The sequence below is a fragment of the Homo sapiens genome, chromosome 6, assembly GCF_000001405.40.
Source record: "Homo sapiens chromosome 6, GRCh38.p14 Primary Assembly".
NCBI classification, from domain to species: Eukaryota; Metazoa; Chordata; class Mammalia; order Primates; family Hominidae; genus Homo; species Homo sapiens.
The window spans coordinates 4,849,604-4,868,840 of NC_000006.12; the positions used below are offsets into that span (position 1 = coordinate 4,849,604).

General features: G+C 40.4%; 1 protein-coding gene across 6 annotated transcripts in view, besides 1 other annotated feature; it reads left to right on the top strand.

The window, feature by feature from the left end:
- CDYL (chromodomain Y like) overlaps positions 1 to 19,237 on the top strand; it is a 249,407-nt gene that overhangs the window by 143,466 nt on the left and 86,704 nt on the right. The window contains exon 1 of one of the 6 annotated variants that reach the window (XM_047419563.1): positions 17,810 to 17,833. The exons of the other annotated variants lie outside the window; for them this stretch is intronic. The gene's annotated coding sequence lies outside the window, so the exon portion shown is untranslated. Of the gene's footprint in view, positions 1 to 17,809; positions 17,834 to 19,237 lie in introns of those variants that run through there. 6 annotated transcript variants of the gene reach the window in all.
- Positions 14,854 to 16,053: an enhancer, noted in NCBI's record as "P300/CBP strongly-dependent group 1 enhancer chr6:4864691-4865890 (GRCh37/hg19 assembly coordinates)". NCBI's record gives its function as "activates an origin of replication core promoter dependent on BRD2, BRD4, P300/CBP, MED14 and CDK7 cofactors, with strong dependence on P300/CBP, by STARR-seq in HCT116 cells {active_cell/tissue: HCT116}" and the evidence as "EXISTENCE:reporter gene assay evidence [ECO:0000049][PMID:35650434]".

Sequence of the window (19,237 nt, forward strand, 5' to 3'; positions counted from 1 at the left end):
TTACTGTTCAAAGAATATTGTCCATTCAGTTTACTTTTTATTTTTAAGATGAAGTATCCCCCAAACTGGTCATGCCAGGAAAAAAAAAAAAAAAGTCTCTTCCTTCCAAATTTAAGCATGTCAGAAAATTCTTACTTCTTTTGCACCTGTTAAGTGCCAGGCACTTAAAAGTTCAAGGGACATAGCAGGAAACAGTACTAATGAACTGCCTTCATGAAGCTCACATGTAGACCACAAACACAGAAAGAAAACACAGTGTGTTTGATGGTGAGATGGTGTGACGTGCTCAGGAGAAAACAGGAGGCAGGGAAGGGGATAGAATTGGGGGGAAAGGGTGGGGAGGGAGGGGGGCAGTTCCAGCCCTACCACTAACTAGAGTGGACTAGCTGGGTGACTTCATTTAACTCTGGAACCTGTTTTCTCATGACTGGATTGGCAAAAATATAATACATGTTCAACATACTTCATAGAGTTTTGTGGGTAAGAGGAATATTATTAGTAGTAACAAGGGCCTTATAATTGCACATAGGATAACTGTATTTGCTTACTGAATCTTCATAGTAATGCTTCACGCTAATTGCCAGTATCACAATTCATTCTCTGATTAATTCAGCAAATACTTGTTGAGTGTCTGCTAGGCACGAGGGATATAGCTAGATTTTAGATACACAAAACTCTGTTCTCATTCTGGTTGAGCTATGACTGAAGAGATGTAGTGTCTTATACCTTTCACCGTTGCTGTGTATTTTATCTTTAAATGTTCAGTTTGGTGACTTTTGTCAATTAACTAGAAAAGTCGATGTTTTAGCGAAAAAGTTTATAATTTTAATAGAGCTTGTGGTAGGGAACTCACAGTGGTTTTATTTTCCTATTACTTACTCTTGGGGCTATTTAAACTAGTAATTTTGTTTATTCTATAAGTTTCTTAATTTTAAAAGTATTCATAGAGTTCTTTTCCTTGTAAGAATGCTACTGTATAGCCCTAAAATTTATAATGGTTCAGGAGAACTTTGGATATAATACATTTTGTGATAACAGTGTGGATCAAGAAGTAGAAATGAAATATGCCATTTGATAATTGAAAGCATATAGTTAGATCGTGAAAGCCACGCACTAGAATTTGTCTAAGTTGATGAAATGCTGACTGATGAATAAGGTGAATCTTTCTTCATTTGGGCCAGTAGAATGGAGAGATCCATATAATTTGGATATTTAACAAAAATTTTCAAGTGTTAAAAAATTATTTGAAAAAATGTATAATTTGCATTAGCCAGTACAGAATTCTTAACTAACAAGCAGAAAATCCAGGAGTACTGCTCATTTTTTAAAAGTTTTTGATTACCAGGGGAAATATAATGGCACCGAGGCACATGGCAATGACTAATTAAAACTGAGCACTAGGGTCTGTGGCTCTCGACTGACTAGTATTTGTGATTTAATCATACTGCCCTAAAGATTTGGGCGCTCACTTGGGTGGGCATAGTTATTACAGATTGGCCTACACGTTCCCTTTCAGAGCCAGAGGACATGGACGTCTTATTTAGTAGAAAGTAGTAATCTGGGTCTTCCAACTTTGAGCTCTGTGCTAGTTCTGTAACCTGGGCCAAAGTTACCTTTGGTTTTCCCATCTGTAAAATGGACGTAACAGCAGGGTGGTGAGAATCAAATGAGTTAATTGATGGTAAAGACTTAACCTAGTGCCTGGCATGTAGATATACTAGGTACTTTATTATTATTATCTATCATACAAAGCTGAAGGATTGTCAGAAAAGAATCATGAGTGCTTCACCATGTTGGAGAGCTTCTGGGCTGGCAAATGTTTAACTTTCCCTATAGGTGGTTAGGGGTGAGCTTTTGAGGTCTTCATTGTGGCAGGCGACATCTGGGACAGCTCCTCTCTTGTGGGTGTAGGAAGCTGGAGTCTGGGGGCTCTCTCTGTTTAAAGATCTTTCATGAGTAGAAACAGACGATTTGCTCGGCCGTTTGTGAGGGGATTTTCAGGTGGGCACGAGGACCTGGCTGGAAAGGAACCACCGTTTAATTCTTCACTGCATTCGCAGACGCATTGCATCCACCAGCACCTTGGTAAAAAGTCTTAACGCAACAATCCCTGATCGTGGCTGTGCACGTAGTCATTCAGGCTTTGTCAGCCTCATGTTAGAAGATGCACATGGCTGTCATTCTTCATGTTTAAACCTGAGAAACTGAACAGTCAAATTTGGGGAATGGTCCAGGACTGAGGAGTGCTGAATCTACCAGCCCCCAGTTGAGGTTCAAATAAGTGGGGGTGATAATGATACTAACCAAAAACAGTGTGGCATTTTACACCCTTTTCTATGTCAGTCCCCTACTTTTATTTATTTCTATAGTGACTTTTTGAAGTAACCAGGCCAGTTGCTTCTTGGTGGTGTGTGTAATTTATTTCTCTTTCCCTTGCTCTTCTGTAAAGCGATGGCTTCCCCTTTGCTCTTAGCAGATAACCTGTTGGGTGACATCTAGGCACCAGGCAGAAATCCCATTTCCCGTTAATGTTTCAACATGTGGATTTAGCATCTACTGATGATCCTTGCTGAATCTTCAGTGGGTGTTACAATTGGAAGATTTTCTAGTCCTGTCGTTCCTTCTGTGGTTACCAGGTGGAACTATTTTGCAAGGAAGAGCTGTCACCAACTGGGGCAAATGATGATTCCTCCTAAAAAGGCAGGGCCAGTCTTCCTTCCTTCCTTCCTTCCCTCCTTCCTTCCTTCCAATCTTCCTTCCTTCCTTCCTCCTTCCTTCCTATCTTCCTTCCTTCCTCCTTCCTTCCTTCCAATCTTCCTTCCTTCCTCCTTCCTTCCTTCCTTCCAATCTTCCTTCCTTCCTTCCAATCTTCCTTCCTTCCTTCCTTCCAATCTTCCTTCCTTCCTTCCAATCTTCCTTCCTTCCTTCCAATCTTCCTTCCTTCCTTCCTTCCTTCCAATCTTCCTTCCTTCCTTCCAATCTTCCTTCCTCCTTCCTTCCTCCTTCCTTCCTTCCTTCCTGTTTAGATTTAAATCAAGTTTACATTTGGTGTAAAATCATTGATTATAAGCAAAGATTTAACATTTTTGTGTGTGTATCATTGTGGGTTTGTGATTTTTATTTGATGATTCAAATACATTATTTTTGTTTGAGTTGTACAATTTTTAGCCAGTGGGAACCCTTTCTCATGGGTTTCTTTGTTCTTTTTTTTTTGAGACAAGGTCTGTCTCTGTCACCCAGGCTGGAGTGCAGTGGCTTAATCACAGCTCACTGCAGCCTCGAGCTCCTGGGTGCAGGTAATCCTCCTGCCTCAGTCATTTGAGTAGCCGGGACCAGCTACCATGCCCAGCTAATATTTTAATTCTTTGTAGAGAAGAAGTCTTGCTTTGTTGCCCAGGCTGGTCTTGAACTCCTGGCCTCAAGTGGTCCTCCTCTTGGGCCTCCCAAAGTGCTGGGATTATAGGCATGAGTCACGGTGCCTAGCTCCTTTGTTCTTTTGACATCTGCCCATACTCCCTCATTAGTCTTTTCCTGCTTTTTGACACAGTAAGGTAGCCAAGGCTCACCTTATACTTCCTCATGCAGTTGATGACAGTAATTCCGTAGCCATTACTGAGCATGTACATTTGTCAGGTACTGGTTTGTACTTTAAAAGAATTACCACATTCAGTTCTCATAACAACCGCGAGGGTAGATATTTTTATTTTTCCCGGTAAAATAGAGGACATCAAAGTTCAGAGAGCTGAAGAAGGTAACATAACTTATCCAAAGCTAAGCTGCTAGATGGCAGAGCCTGCATCTGAATCCAGGACTTCCAACTGCGGAACCTCCAAACCGTTGTTCCTAATCACTGCCAGTTTTGGCAGACCTCTTCCTTCTCTTCCTCCTTCTCCTTCTCATTCCCCTCCTCCTCCCTTCCTCTCCCATTTTTAGTACCAAGGATAGCTCTTAAAGTATCTCTTGAGTCTCTTCTCAGCTTCACTGCTGTCTTGCTTCAGGTGCTGGTTTTTCTTTTAGATTACTGCATCGAGTCCCTGTCTCCTGCCTTTCTTCTCCCAATATCCACATTCCTGTCAGGAATATCTTTTAAAAAGGAAACAAAACAAAACACCAGGCAGCTGTCACCTTTGCGTACAGGATAGAGCCCATCACCGTTTGTGTGGCACACTGGCTCCTCACACCTGTCCCCACACCTGCCCCAGCTTCTCCTGCCATGCCACAGCACACCTGCGTGTGCAGAACAGCATGGCAGGCACCTCTTAGCTGGCCTCGTGTGCTCCCGTGCCTTCGCACACCTTGTTTCTTGCTTCTTGGGATCCTCCTCCCACTTTGTAAAATTTTGTTTTCCCGAAATTCAGCACAGATGGGCTTCTGTGAAGGTGTTGTCCTGATTCTCTGTGCAGAGGTGAGCTCCTGCTCGTGGTGAGTCCCCTTGAAGTGTGTGTACTTTGCACACGTGTCCCTGGGGGTGTAGTTCACTGTGCACACACGGCCTCCTCCAGCAGGGCAGTGACAAAGCTGGGCCTGACTCATCTTCGTAGGCTGCTAGTTCTTTCAGTCAGCAGATAAGGTATTGTTAACCCTCGAGACCTGTGCGAGCACACCAGTGTCTGGCTCTCCTCACTGGAATTGTCGCTTAGATTCTTATGTAATCTGAGTGATGCCGTCTTGCAGGCATGGCTCAGATCCTCTTTAAGATGTTTCCTCAAAACTCAGCATCCGCAGTTCACATCACCCTGTTTATGTTACGCAGTTTCATACTAGTCATGTATTTACCCCATCAGATCACCAAGTTTGCACTTGAGGTTTCTCCCCAGCACAAAGGACTGTGTACACCCCACAGGCTCCCAGTGAGTCATTTTGGTTGGTGAAGTGGTGGAGGCGCTTGGTCACCTGGGAGCTCTGTGTGTGTTTCTTTCAGTGGTGTCTAGAGAGAGGATAAAGACGCCAAGTCTTCTACTATGGCAGGTGTTTTCAAATGGCAAAATGCTACACCACCTGGAATAAAATAACCTCATGACACTACAAGAGGAGAAACAAGGTTCCAAGGCTTGGGGGAAGCATGTGCCGTTGAGGGCACACACACCTAGCAGGTAAGTTGTCACACATCAGTGGCAGCACAAGGAAGGCTAGGTTCCAGGAGTCAGCCCCCAGGGTGACGTCGAAACAAAAACCAGCCACCCCAGGGGTGTACATGAAGCACCACACACCGATTTAGGTTTGGCCTGTCCTCTTTTGGCCACTTGCCTTAGAAGTGTAAAGAGTTAGGTAAGATTAAAGGAAGAAGTCTACAGAGGCCCCTGATAATTGTCAGCCAAGACTCATGTTGAGAGTCAGGGCTAAGGTCGGAGTTCAACCCGATCCGGTTATAATTATGAAATATATGAATAGGGTCAATATGAGCTTTCTTATCAAGTGTTGGAATTCTAGAAATAGTCTATGTCTAGACAAGGTTGCTTTAGGATAAAATGAGAGAAATAATTATTTCCTGGATAATACGCTTAGGATTTTAGATTGACTATATAGATAGATTGGAGGATGGTTTATTTAAATTAATAGATCTGCAATGGATTCTAAAAAGAGAACCAATGAAAGCCCAGTATTTAACCCTTTGAAGTAAAATGAAAGATAATTGACCCTTTTCTCTATTAATATCCTCCCATCAAACAGTTTAAAATTTTAATTTTTTTAGAGATGAGGTCTTGCTCTGTCACCCAGGCTAGAGTGCAGTGTTGTGATCACAGTGTCATGATCAGAGCTCACTGCAGCCTCGAACTCCTGGGCTCAAGGGACCCTCCCACCTCATCCTCTGGAGTAGCCGGGATTACAGGTGCATGCCACCACCCAGCTAATTTTTATCAGCAGTTTTTAACCTATTTAAGCCCAGGGTCCCTTCTGGAATGTGCCAAGAAGGCATAGATTCTCAACCTAGAAAGTTGCACACATGCACCCACGATTTTTCACACAGTTTTTTTCCATTTGGTGGAAGGACCAGGGGAATCACAAATTCATCTGAAAGTTATTTGTGGATCTTTTATCTCAAAAAGTTTTCTGGACTGTAGCCCACAGTTGAAAATGTAGTTTACATCACAATCTACACGTAAGCATATAAGATGAAAAGCTTCATAGAATACTAACCTGACTATGGGCAACACACACTGTTCTGTTCTGGCTCGTTTTATGAAATGATTTTATGACACACTAAGGGGTCTCCACCTGCAGTTAGAAAAATGTAGCTCTCACTATGCAGAGTGGGTAGACTTTAGAACCCTTGCCTTGTCACGGCCAAGCTCAGTACTGGGCATCTCATGCTCGGACGTAGTTCTTATGCTCATTGTCCATTTGTTGCCAAGGTTGATTCTGGCTAAATGCATACCCCAGGCAGTTAGAAAAGAAGAATTGCAAATCAACTTCTGACACATTAAAAGTGTTATGATCTGGCCCACATTCATATAGATTATAGAGATCTCACATGCTCAGCAAATGTGCCTCCTTTGTGGTCACAGCACAGGTATCTAAAAACACCAGGGTATAGCAGTGAACAAAACAAACAAAAGTTCCAGCCTTCTAGTAGAGGAGAGGGGCATCACATGAGATCATAAAATATGTCAGACTGTGATAAATCATAAGGAGAAAAAATAAAGCAGAGAGTGGGGTATGAAGAATTGGGATAAGGTTTGAAATTTTAGCTTGGATCGCTGGGTTGTTGGTGTCACTGAAAAAGCGACCTTTCCTGAGTGAAGTGAAGAGGTCGGCCGGATAGATAATTGCAGACAGGACTTTGTAGGCAGAGGCCATGGAAGTGCACAGTCCCTGAATGAGACAGAGCCCAGTCGTGTCTGGCGAGGAGGGAAGGGGACAAGGGGCCAGAAGGGCAGTCCACACATGTCCATGGGACCTTTTGGTTGTGCCAGGCAGCCTGAGGGTGGCAGGGTAGAAGCAGGGGAACAGCTGTGAGGACGCTGTTGCGACAGTCGGGGCCAGAACAATGGTGGTGTGGTCCTGAGGGATGGCAGCGGGAAGAGCGAGAAATGCATGAATTCTGGAAAGACTGAACCTGGGTGGGAAAGAAAGAAGAGAGCCCAGGATGGCCCCAGCCCAGAACTCTGATGGGGAAGACTGAGATGGAGTAGCTTGGGGCCTGGGGGGAACTTCAGGATCTCAACTTGGGGCAGGTAGAACTTTGTGAAGCCTTTTACACCTCATTGGAAAAGTCAAGAAGATAATAGAATCATTAGTTAACAATTTTTGCACATTTCCTCACTAATTTGAAAGAGAAACTCTAACCTGACCTGGTAAGTATAGTCTGGATATTTTTGTCCATCACTGTCTCATATGATTTTTAATGTGGGGCTGAATTCCTGGCAGTTCCTTTCTCAGCCAGCCGGGGGAAGTCCACAGAGGTGAGAGAAGCCAACTTAAGAGAAAGGCAACTTGCCTTCATCTTTCAGTGGTCATGCGTGGTTCAGTGTTATAGTTTGTGGCCTTTTACAATTAGAAAAACACAGGCTTTTTTCATTGTAAAAATTGAGTTTTTTAATTGGTGAAATATACGTGACAAAGTTTGCCATTTTAACCATTTTCTGTGTACAGTTCACTGGCATTAAATACATTCACACTGATAATCAACCATCACCACCAAACATCGCCAGAACTTAAAAAAAATGAAGTTTTGCATTGAGACACCCTTCCCAAAAGTATTTCAGAATTACCCAAATTTCTGGTGAAAAGTTTTACATTAATAACAATGCGTTTTTATATACACGAGAGTAAACATCGAATTTAAGGGTAGTTGCAAATGTTGCTCTAGGGGAGGACTTCCCTTCGTGGGGCAAAATATGCTGAAATTCTTGAGAAATAAGTCTAAGAGACTCTTACTAGACTCTGCCTTTTTCTGGTAACTCACCCTTTAGCAAACTTAAGGTCTTCTTTGTAGCTTTGTAGGCCTTTGAAGTCCCTTCAGAACAGGTAGATCGTTGAGGACTATTTGTTGCCGGTTTGGTGTGTGTGGATGCTTTCTAAAAGTCTCCTGATAGGCAGGTCTCCAGGGCATGACCTGTGCTCACAGTACCACCTGTTCATGGATCTCTTCTGTCTGTTTCAATACAATCTGTCATTGGACATAAGAATATTGTTTCTTGCCATGCGCTTCTCAGAAAGCTCTGTTGAATTAAGATGTGTCCCAGGTCTTCCATTTAACTTTACAGGGAATTATCTGATGATTGCTGTGTTCCTTGAACCCTTGCTGAAGAAATTAAGTCAGCTTTTGCCCATACTCACTTCTCATTATGCCTGTTAAGAAGAAAAACCACCTCTTTGCTGAAATAGTGATTTAAAGACGTGGATTTGCCAAGTTGGATTGTATCCTTTCAGCCTAAAGGTTTTTCTACCCGCCCCCGCCCCATCTTGTCCCATTGACTTAAGCTTCTGTATCGCACTAGTTCAAGGCTCTGCCTCCTTCACTTATTTTCCTTGCCCTTCAAAATTGTGCTTATTTCTGAATGCAAGAAGTTCAACTAGGAGCCTTGTTCATCCACTTTCTTTCATTTCCTTTTATCTTAAAATATACTTCTTGTCCAGAGTGAGGCTTTAAAAAGATTTTTTTGGTTGTATTTAAAAAACCCACATATTTTCCTAGAAAAATTCAAGTAGTAAAGAGGAAGGGAAACTCGGAAAAATCTAAGACTCAGTACTAAACCACCGTTTGATTTGATTATTCTTCTAGGTTATTATCTTACTGACATGTAATAATGGCGAACACAAACACAGTCCTGGCAGGTGTCAGGCACTAAAATGTTTCACACCCAAACACTTCCACTACTTGTCACAGCAGCCCTCTGAGGGTCAGCACTGCTATTGTCCAGCCGTCCAGTCACCTGGATGAGCAAACCAGAGCTCACGGAGCTTAAGGAACCTGCCCAGAGCCACACAGCCCCAGCCACGGGATCGAGCGCCACCCTGGCCAGCCTGTCTGGGCAATCCCTCTTGGCTGGCATGCTTATTCATCTTGTCCTGTGACCTGCCTTTTGTTTGGTTTTAAATTCAAGGATATGCTGCAAATCTTGCAGTATTTATGTACAGACTTGCAATTTAAGGCTGTCAGCTTGAAGGTGGAGAGTGTAGACTTGAATTAGACTATTAGACTGTGTGAGTTTGAATCCAGCTCTTCCAGTTACTGCTCCCTTGACAGAGTGACTTAACCTCTGTGCCCCAGTTCCTCCTCTGGAAAAAGGGGAAGACAGAAATGATATCTTTCATAGGGTTTTGCAGGAATTAAATGAGTTAACAGAGGTAAAGAGCTTAAAACAGTGGTTGCCACATAAACACTGGGCCAATGTTACCCAGGTTAAATGTCAGCTACCTGCAGGGGTCTCTGCTCATTCTGGGCTGGTTCATGACTGATGGGTTTGTGAGAGTATACGTGCTTTTAGAGTAGTCCTAGAGCTAGAATCATTTGTACACATTTTACTGATTTGTTATTTCTTTAAAAGCCTTTTTCATGGGAAGGTTTTATTGTTGGTTTGGTGGCTGGCAGTTCTTTTACTAAGCTTTCCTTCATGCTCTCTATTTTGTGATATTTTCAGTGAGTCACACAGCAGAGACATGTTCTGTGGAACAAACCTATCCTTGGATTACAACAGACAGTGACATTTTCTTTCTAGTGTGAGCTCAAGTCTGTGAGCTGTGTGCTTCTACTTGTAGTCTTTTTTTTTTCCAGTAATGGTCATTGCGGATTACTTGCCATTGTGTAGGTAGGTCAGCTGCCCGGGGTGCCTTGCTTAAACCTTCTCAGTCCTGAGTTGGTTGCCCTTGCATCACAGAAGAAGAAGTGGATGGAGTTATGTCCCTGCCACGGTCCCCTGGCAGAGCCAACGGTGGTCTCCAGAGCGCTACCACACTCACTCCCTCTGTAAGGAAAGCACAATTTAAGGGTGGCAGCCTTGCCTTTGACTGTCCCAGGAAAGGGGATTTTGACTGTGGATTCTGTCCTTAGGTAATTAGATTATTTTGATGAGTGCTAGTTCTGCACACTTGCTAAAGTTTTAGGGACTCTGCCTTACTTAGGAGATAATTCTGTCTTGAGATACCCCGTTTACAGAATGCTTTCTAACTTAGATGTTTGGTGAATAAGGGCATCTGTTTGCCAGCACCAGCTCTCCTGGCTCCCTGTGCTGGTTTTCTCTGAACACCTCACCTGACTGCAGGCAGACAGCTCTGAGTGGCTGCCTCGTGGCTAGACTAGTGGGATGACTTTTGCCAACACAAACACAGTTCATAAGGATCTTTTTTTGTCTTTTTTTTTCTTTTTTTTTTTGGAGATGGAGTCTCGCTCTGTCACCCAGGCTGGAGTGCAGTGGCGCAATCTCGGCTCACTGCAAGCTCCGCCTCCTGTGTTCACGCCATTCTCCTGCCTCAGTCTCCCAAGTAGCTGGGACCACAGGCGCCCGCCACTACCCCCAGCTAATTTTTTGTATTTTTAGTAGAGACAGGGTTTCACCGTGTTAGCCAGGATGGTCTCGATCTCCTGACCTCGTGATCCGCCCGCCTCGGCCTCCCAAAGTGCTGGAATTACAGACGTGAGCCACCACGCCCAGCCAGTTCATAAGGATCGTAAGAACAAGTTTATACTTCCAGCAAAAGAAAAACTTTTGAACTGTGACTTTAGTGTTAACGTTTCGTTACGTGTGTAATGCATATGATTGTTACCACCGGTTCTTGCCATCCATATTCCCCTCACTCCCCCCTTCTTTCCCTCCCCATTCTCCTAACTACTATGGTGAAGCTCCTGATAGTGTAGCATGCAGGTGCTAGCATATGGGAAGTGAGTCTCCAGTTGGGGAGCTTGTTAGCAATTATATTAGGGTTCTCTTAGAGGGACAGAACTAATAGGAAATATATATATATAAAAAATATATATATAATGTATATTGTATATCATGTATATATTACATATTATTATATATATTTTGTATATTATGTATAATATACATATATATCATATATATTATATTTTGTATCATATTATGTATATTATATAATATATAAATAATATATATAGGAGTTTATTAAGTATTAACTTACACAATCACAAGGTCCCGCAATAGCCAGTCTGCATGAGAAGCAAGAAGCCAAGAGCCATTCTGAGTCCCCAAACTGAAGAACTTGGAGTCCGATGTTCAAGGGCAGGAAACATCCAGCATGGAGAAAGATGTAGGCTGGGAGGCTAGGCCTGTCTCTCCTTTTCACGTTTTTCTGCCACTTTATATTCACTGGCAGCTGATTAGATTGTGCCCACCAGATGAAGGGTAGATCTGCCTTCCCTAGCCCACTGACTCAAATGTTTATCTGTTTTGGCCACACCCACCCAGACACACCCAAGATTAATATTTTGTATCCTTCATTCCAATCAAGTTGACATTCGGGATTAACCATCACATCAATAATCAAGACAGTATAGAAAGTGAGACTAGTTCATTAACGGCAGTTACTTATTTGATGCAGAGGATCTAAAAATATAGAAGAGTTAAAACATAAATATCAATGAAAAAATGTGATGCTATGAGCAAAATGGGAAGCCTATCTGTGTCCTTTCTGGCTATGTGTATGGCGTATACGGTGATGCCTAGGTTACCATTCTCTGGGGTGTGCACCCAGGCCTGAAAGGCACTAAGTGCAAATGGAGTCGTTAACTGTGGGCATAAGTTGTCTCAGGGCCAGGCTGGTGGCTGGGGAGGAGGTGGCCCCAGGACTTCTTATTGAAGGTTGGAGTGTCATCTGCCCCTAAGTGGCTTTTGTGGTCACCCAGATAATAGAGCCAGAGATGCTGTCCTTGGCCATGTTTGAGCTCCACTTCCCCGCATCAGATGTTTTTTGAGGGCCAAGAGGGCCAGTAAATCATGGTCTGCCTTTTCTCAAGAAGTAGGGGGAAGAGACTGTAGGACAGGAAATGGAAACCTGAATCCTAAGACATAGTCCACGTCTAATATGATGTCTAAGGCTATGTTTTCATGAGTAAAGCTGTCACAATATTTTCCTATGTTGAAGTTATCTTAACTTCATGGGATTGCTCCTTAAAGAGAGTAGATTTTAAAAGCTGTTCTTCTTGATGCCCTTGGAAGCTGTCACATGATCCAGTTTGTTGCCATTGCGCAGTACTGTATCTGTCTCTTTACATGTGCTTGATACAGAGTGACTTCCTGCTTGTTGTTTGTCCTTAGGCAGTTTGACTTCTCCACTCAGCAAGCCTTTAAAGCACCTGGGTTATGATGCGCATGGATCTGGTTAAGTTACAAAGACCCATGACCATCTCCTTAAAATCCAGCATCCAGTACAAAGTGTACATTCCCCATTCAATCACATAGTCATTTTTATAAATTCATAGCCCTGGTCCTAAACAGGAAGTAAAGGGACCCTGCCTCCTCCCCGACCCCTACTCCCCAGAAACCAGAAACAAAAAGAACTGTCAGACTCCTGGATATCTTGCTCTTGCGGGTACTGTGCAGGTCTCTGTGTGTGCCAGGTTCTGTTGCTGTTTTAACGTCCTACGTAAATAAACAAAACACCCTAGAATGAAAAGTAACAAGTCACCTCCTTCCCTGTAATCGCCCCTGATCCCCTGGCATAGTCTGTAGGTTTTAGCTTTGAAATAAATATTTGTTTGAAAAAGAGAGAGGAAAGTGCTGCTGTTTCACTGGAGATATTTTCGTTCTTTTTTGAGGGGGTGGGATGAGTTAATTCTGACCATGGCTTAAGCCTATAAAGTAGGCTTTAAGCCCATGACGTGGCCATCAGCTCTGCCTGGTGACAGCTCACCCTACAACTTTCTTTTGTGGAGAGTAATTTTTACCTGAGCCTTATAAACATAAAACCCATAGTAAATAATAAATATTGTGATATTTATTAAAAGAGTATTCCCTAAAAGTAACCTCTGAAAGAGCTGTAAACATGATCTAATAAACAATGATCTCAAAGCTCCCTACCTTTGGGGGCTGTTAAGTTAATGTGAATGCCCACTATAGCTATTAGTGTGCTAGGTCTACAACATTTTCACATAAAACACTTTAGAACAGTTAATTAATTTGCTTATACTTAGTTTGTAATTCCTAGACTATTTCCTCATTTATAGCTTCAAAGAGAAACTCTATGGCAGTAATTTTCCAGGTGGTCCACTTGGTTAAGAATATCTCTTCCCTTTCTCAAAGAACTAAAATTAGAACTGTCATTTGACCCAGCAATCCCTCTACTGGGTATCTACCTAAAGAAAAAGAAATCGTTCTGTCAAAAAGACACCTGCACATGTATGTTTATTGCAGCACTGTTCACAATAGCAAAATCATGGAATCTACTTAAGTGCCTATCAACAGTGTACTGGATAAAGAAAATGTGGTACATATACACCATGGAATACTATACCCCCATAAAAAAGAATGAAATTATGTTCTTTGCAGCAGCACAATGCAGCTGAAGGCCATTATCCAAGGTGAATTAATGCAGAAACAGAAAATCAAATACCACATTTTCACTTATAAGTGGGAACTAAACAGTGGGTACGCATGGATGTAAAGATAGGAGCGGTAAACACTGGGGACTCCAAAAAGGTGGGAGGGAGGGAAGGGATCAAAGGTTGAAAAAACTACCTGTTGGGTACCGTGTTCACTGTTTGAGTAATGGGTTCACGAGAAGCCCAAACCCCAGCTTTATATATTATACCATTGTAACAAACTTGTACATGTAGTCCCCGAATCCAAAATCATTAAATTATTTTTAAAAAGACTACCTCTTCCCCTTCTTTGCCTCGCTTTTCGTGGCAAAAATAGAAAAAATCGAGTCACATAATTTCTTGTTCTTTTGGAATTAAAAAAAGGTCACTTTACACTCAAAAAGAATGATCCTTCCAAAGGAATTAACAGCTAACTAGGTATTGTTTGACATTTGCATTTGGTGGCATTCTTCTCTAAGAGATCCTTGCTTTGATGCAGCTGGTTCCAGTTGCAAAATGGTATTTCCCATGAGTGTGAAATTATGAAGAGTTGCTCCTAGAAAGCCATTTTGTTCTACAAGCATGTTTAATCAAGAAAATAAATATCCTTTTGCAAATTTTTATAAGCATGTAAGGCATATTTCTTGCAGAAGCTGAGACATATTTAATGCAGAAGCTGATTTCAAATTGGCTTAATTTTTAATGCCTGCATTGGAATAAACCTGTATCCCATTTCCTTTCCTTATGTGGGACCCAAGACCTTGTCTCAAGCACGAGAAGGTCCAGTTTAAGTAAAATTAGTGTTTCTCAGGAGACGAGAGAGGCCCTGATAAGATCCTCAAGTTGAAACACGCTAAAACCCTAGCAAATTGAATTGAGACCTAGATATATTATTAGAAAGTACAGACCCTCAAAGGTAAAGTAGAAGATGTTGAAGGCACAGAGGGAGAAAGAGAGATCGCCTGAGGGTCTGTAATGACACTGACTATGGATTTCCACAGTAATCATAGAAGTATGAAGATGGAGCTGAGAACGTAACTGCCAACCTAGAATACTTTACTAATGTAAAATATGATTCAAGAAACAAAATGAAATGGACACTTTCAAACAAGCCCTGAAATTTTTACCACTGGTGGACTCTTGCTAAAAAGATCATGAAAAGATATTCTTCAAAAAGAAAGAAATTGAACTCAGAAAGGCATAAGATGATTGGTGAGCAAGGAAATGGGAGATGGCAGGTATGTCTAAACCACATTAGTTGTACGAAACAGTAATACTGATTTTGATAAAATTGGGAAACATTTTATTGACTAAAATTTGTAGCAACAAGAAGAAGATAGGTGATCAGGAATAATATTTTATCCTGTCCTTTTATTATTTGGGAGGGAAGGAAATAACTTTAGATTTTAATAGATAAGCATGCTGATATGGTTTGGCTGTGTCCCCACCCAAACCTCAACTTGAATTGTATCTCCCAGAATTCCTACGTGTTGTGATAGGGACCCAGGGCAAGGGGGTAATTGAATCATGGGGCCGGTTTTTCTCATGCTGTGTTGTGACACTGAATAAGTCTCACAAGATCTGATGGGTTTATCATGGGTTTCTGCTTTTGCTGCTTCCTCATTTTTCTGTTGCTGTCATCACATAAGAAGTGCCTTTCACCTCCCACCATGATTCTGAGGCCTCCCTAGGCATGTGGAACTGTAAATCCAATTAAACCTCTTTTTGTTCTCAGTTTCAGGTATGTCTTTATCAGCAACGTGAAAATGAACTAATATACATGCTAAAGCTGTAAGGATAACAACTGAAAATTACAAATTATAGGAAGGAAGGGCCAAAGAACTATAGAAAAAGCAAGAGTGTTAGAGTGAACTCCAAGTTTCTCTTCAAAGAATCAGTATGTCAGTGTGTTCAGCTCTCTTATTCTTTGATTCTCCATTTTAAAGTTTAACTTCCTGGTTCTCTTTGCCCCCTTGCCTCTAGTTTCAGTAAACAACTTTCCTGCCAGTTCTAATCAGTAGTTCACATCTGTTCCCCTCATCACCTGCTGCATCTTGAGTCACCCCTGGTCACCTGCTCTGCCCTGAGTTACTCCTGGTCACCTGCTCCATCTTGAGTCATCCCTGGTCACTGGCTCTGACCTGAATCATCCTGGGTCACCTGTTCTGTAACCTCCCTTCCCGCCAAACTACTCATCCCGCCACTCGGGCTCATACCCCTTCTGTCTTTAAAATAGCCAATTGGAATTAGCTTAGACTGTGCGGTCCAACCCTAGCCAATAGGGGAATGACACAGCAGTAGGGGCTCCCTGCATCAGGCATAAGAACCCCTTCCCCTCCCTTTTCCAGGTTTATTCTCGCCATTGCTCCATCTGTGAGTCACACCCTTCTATAGAAGTAAAAATTGCCTTGCTCAGAAAAGGAAATTTATGTTCGAGTGCTGTTTTCTTGCAGCACCAAGTAACAAGCATTTGTTTCTAACGAAGAGTATAGAATGAAATGGTCAAAATAAATACAGGTAAAATGTGTTTGTAATCCGAATAGGTAAAAAAGGATTAAATTTCAGGTAAAGATCAGAGATGATCAGATTGGATAAAACATAATTTTAAGGAGGAAAGAAGATGAAGGTGGTCATTGTACAGTGATAAAATGTATAGTTCTCCATGAAGATAAAGTGATTTTAAACTTGTTTGCCTTCGGTAGCATAGTTTCAAAATAGTTAAGGCAAAGCCAACATAATTTTAGATCTCTAGTCAGTGTCAGTTGTTGAATGACTTCTCTGTAAGTAACTAGTAGATTGATCAGAAATTACAAAGATCAGAAGATTTGAACAGCTACAGTTTTAAGTGGACATAAAGAACCTTACCTTTAATAAGGAGATAAATTATTTTAAAATACAAGAGACATTCAAATTTCTTTACACACTAGGCCAGAAAGCAGTTAGTATCAACAAAAAACACATATCATACTGTGTTATCTGATCACAATTATTAGATTAGAAACTGAATTTCTAATCTTACGCATTTTGGAAATTTGAATTCAATATAACTTGTGGGCCAACGAAGAAAACAAACCGGAATTAAGAGTGGTTGTCAAAATTTTGGAGTCGGTCAAGTACCCAAGTTAAAAATCAGACAGAAGAGTGAATACAGTTAAAGGAAAAGAGATGTTTTTCTTTGTTTTCTTTAAGAATGTTAAAGAGAAGAACAGAAAATAATTCCAAAACAAGGATACAGTTAAGAGGATACAAGTGCAAAAGTGGTTATTTATTTATTTTTTTAAAAGTGGCAGTTTATCAAGTAGAAGAAAGAAGATTAAAACATTAGGAATGAAAAGAAGGTCACATCTACAGGAATAGCAAGTATTTTTAAAAGACTACAAACAACTGCATGCCAACAAGTATGAGATATTATAGTAAGTTCTCACTTAACGTCATCAATAAGTTCTTGGAAACTGCTACTTTAAGCGAAAAGACAATGCCAAGTCCTTGAATAAGATCATTTTCTTCAGTGTCATTTTATTATAACGTTGATGAGGGAAAAAATGGTTGTATTATAAATAAATTTGCTTAAAGTCACAGTTTCCAAAAACCTATCAAAGACAGTGAGGACTTACTATATAATACTTAGAATATAAGCAGTTTTCTAGAAATAACCAAGTTTACCCAAATTGACTAAAAAAGAGTAGGAGACCATTCAATAAATGAATGGGTTAATAATCTATACCCTCTCACTTTGCGTTCTACCCCCATACTAGGCCCAGAGAGTTCACGGATGTATTCTACCAAACAGTCAAGGGAATGGATTCTCAAAATTTTACACCATTATTTCCAGAGAGAAGAAAAAAAGGAACTAAATTGATCCTCTAGTTTGGTTTTATTTTCAAGCTATCATGAAAAGCTTCAAATTTCTGTCACAAATAAGTATAACAAATAATTGTGAACCCATCATCAGTCGCCTAGCATTAACAATTAGAATATTTTGCCATTAGTGTTTCATCGATAATTTCTCACAGATATCTTTTTTTGTTCATTTGTTTTAAAATACTTGTTGTAACTGTAGCTGTGACCTCCTTTTCATTTCTAATGTTTTGTTTGTTGTTTCTGGAGTATGTTAAAACAAATCCAAGCCTTGCTAAACTCATTTATTAGTTCTCAAAAGTTTTTTTAAAAAATTTCTTAATTTCTTCCTGCATACTGGATCATACCATCTGTGAATAAAGACAGTTTTACTTCTTTCCAATCAATGTAGATTTTGTCTTTTTCTTTACCAAGAATCTGCAGACTTGCTGAGAATGAACATCCTTACTTCATTCCTGGGATCTTTGGGGAAACATCTTCAGTCTTTCACATTAAGTACGTATTAGCTGTAGGGTTTTTATAGATTTCCTTATCAAGTTGAGAATGTTCCCTTTTATTTCTAATTTGTTGAGAGTTTTGGTCATGAAATGGTGTTGGATTTTATTAAATGCTTTGTCAATGACTAGTGAGATGGTTATGTGGTTTTTCTCCTGTAATCCATTAATATGGAATATTACATTAATTGATTCTCTGATGTGAAACCAACTCTGAATTCTTGGGATAAACTCTGCCTGGTCATGATGCACAATCCTATTTATCTGTTGCTGAATTTGGTTTGGGATTTTCATGTCTGTGTTTATGAGGAATATTGTTTTGTAGGTTGTTGTGGGGTTTTTTTTTTTTTTTTGGTAAAAAAGATTTTGCTGATTTCCTTTTCTTCTGGAGTCAGTTTTGGTAACTTATAGTTTCCTAGGAATTTTTGCATTTTGTCTAAATTGCTTAGTTTGTTGACATAGAGTTATTCAGAGTATATCGTGTTTCCTTCCTTTCTGCCAGGTGTAGGTAGTGATGTCTCCTCTTTCATTTCTGATATGGGTTATTTGTGTCATCTCTCTTCTTTTTTTGGGTGGAAGATCATTCTAGCGAAGAGTTTATCAGTTTTGTTGAACCTTTCACATAACTTATTTTTTGGTTTGAAGTATTTTTCTGTTGCTGCTGCTGAATTGATTTATACTTGGATCTTTATTGTTTCCTCTCTTCTGCTTGCTTTGGGCTGAATTCGCCCTTCTGTTTCTTATTTCTTCAATAGAAAGATTAGATTATTGGTTCTTTCACTTCTTTTATGACATAAGTGTTTAAAACTACAATTTTCTCTAAGCACTACATTGGCTACATTTCATAAATTTTCATGTGTTGCTTTCATTTTCATTCAATTCTAAATACTTTCTAATTTTCCCTATATTTTCTTTTTTGACTGATGGCTTCTTTTTTAGAAGTGTGTTTTTTTAATTTTTAAATTTTGGAGAGTTTCCAAAATTGTTGATTTCTAATTTAATTCCATTATGGCCATTAAACACAATTTTCTCTTGTCTTTAGCTTTTGGTAGTTTGACTATTATGTGTCCAGGTAAGGATCTTTTTATATATCTTAAATCTTTTTAAAATAACGGAGTCCTGTTTTATGGCCTACATTCTGGTCTTTTGTAGTAAATGTTCTGAGTGCACTTGGAAGGACCATTGTTGGATGGACTATAAATTTCAGAATGAGTTGGTTGACAGTGTTCAAGTCTTCTATATCATTGCCGATTTTCTGTTTTGGTCTATCAGTTATTGATAGTGGGCTATTGAAATATCAAACTATAAATGTAGAATTGTGTATTTCATTTCTGTCAGTTTTTGCCTCATGTATTTTGAGGATCATACATACACACATTCATAGTTATTACATCTTGAAATACTG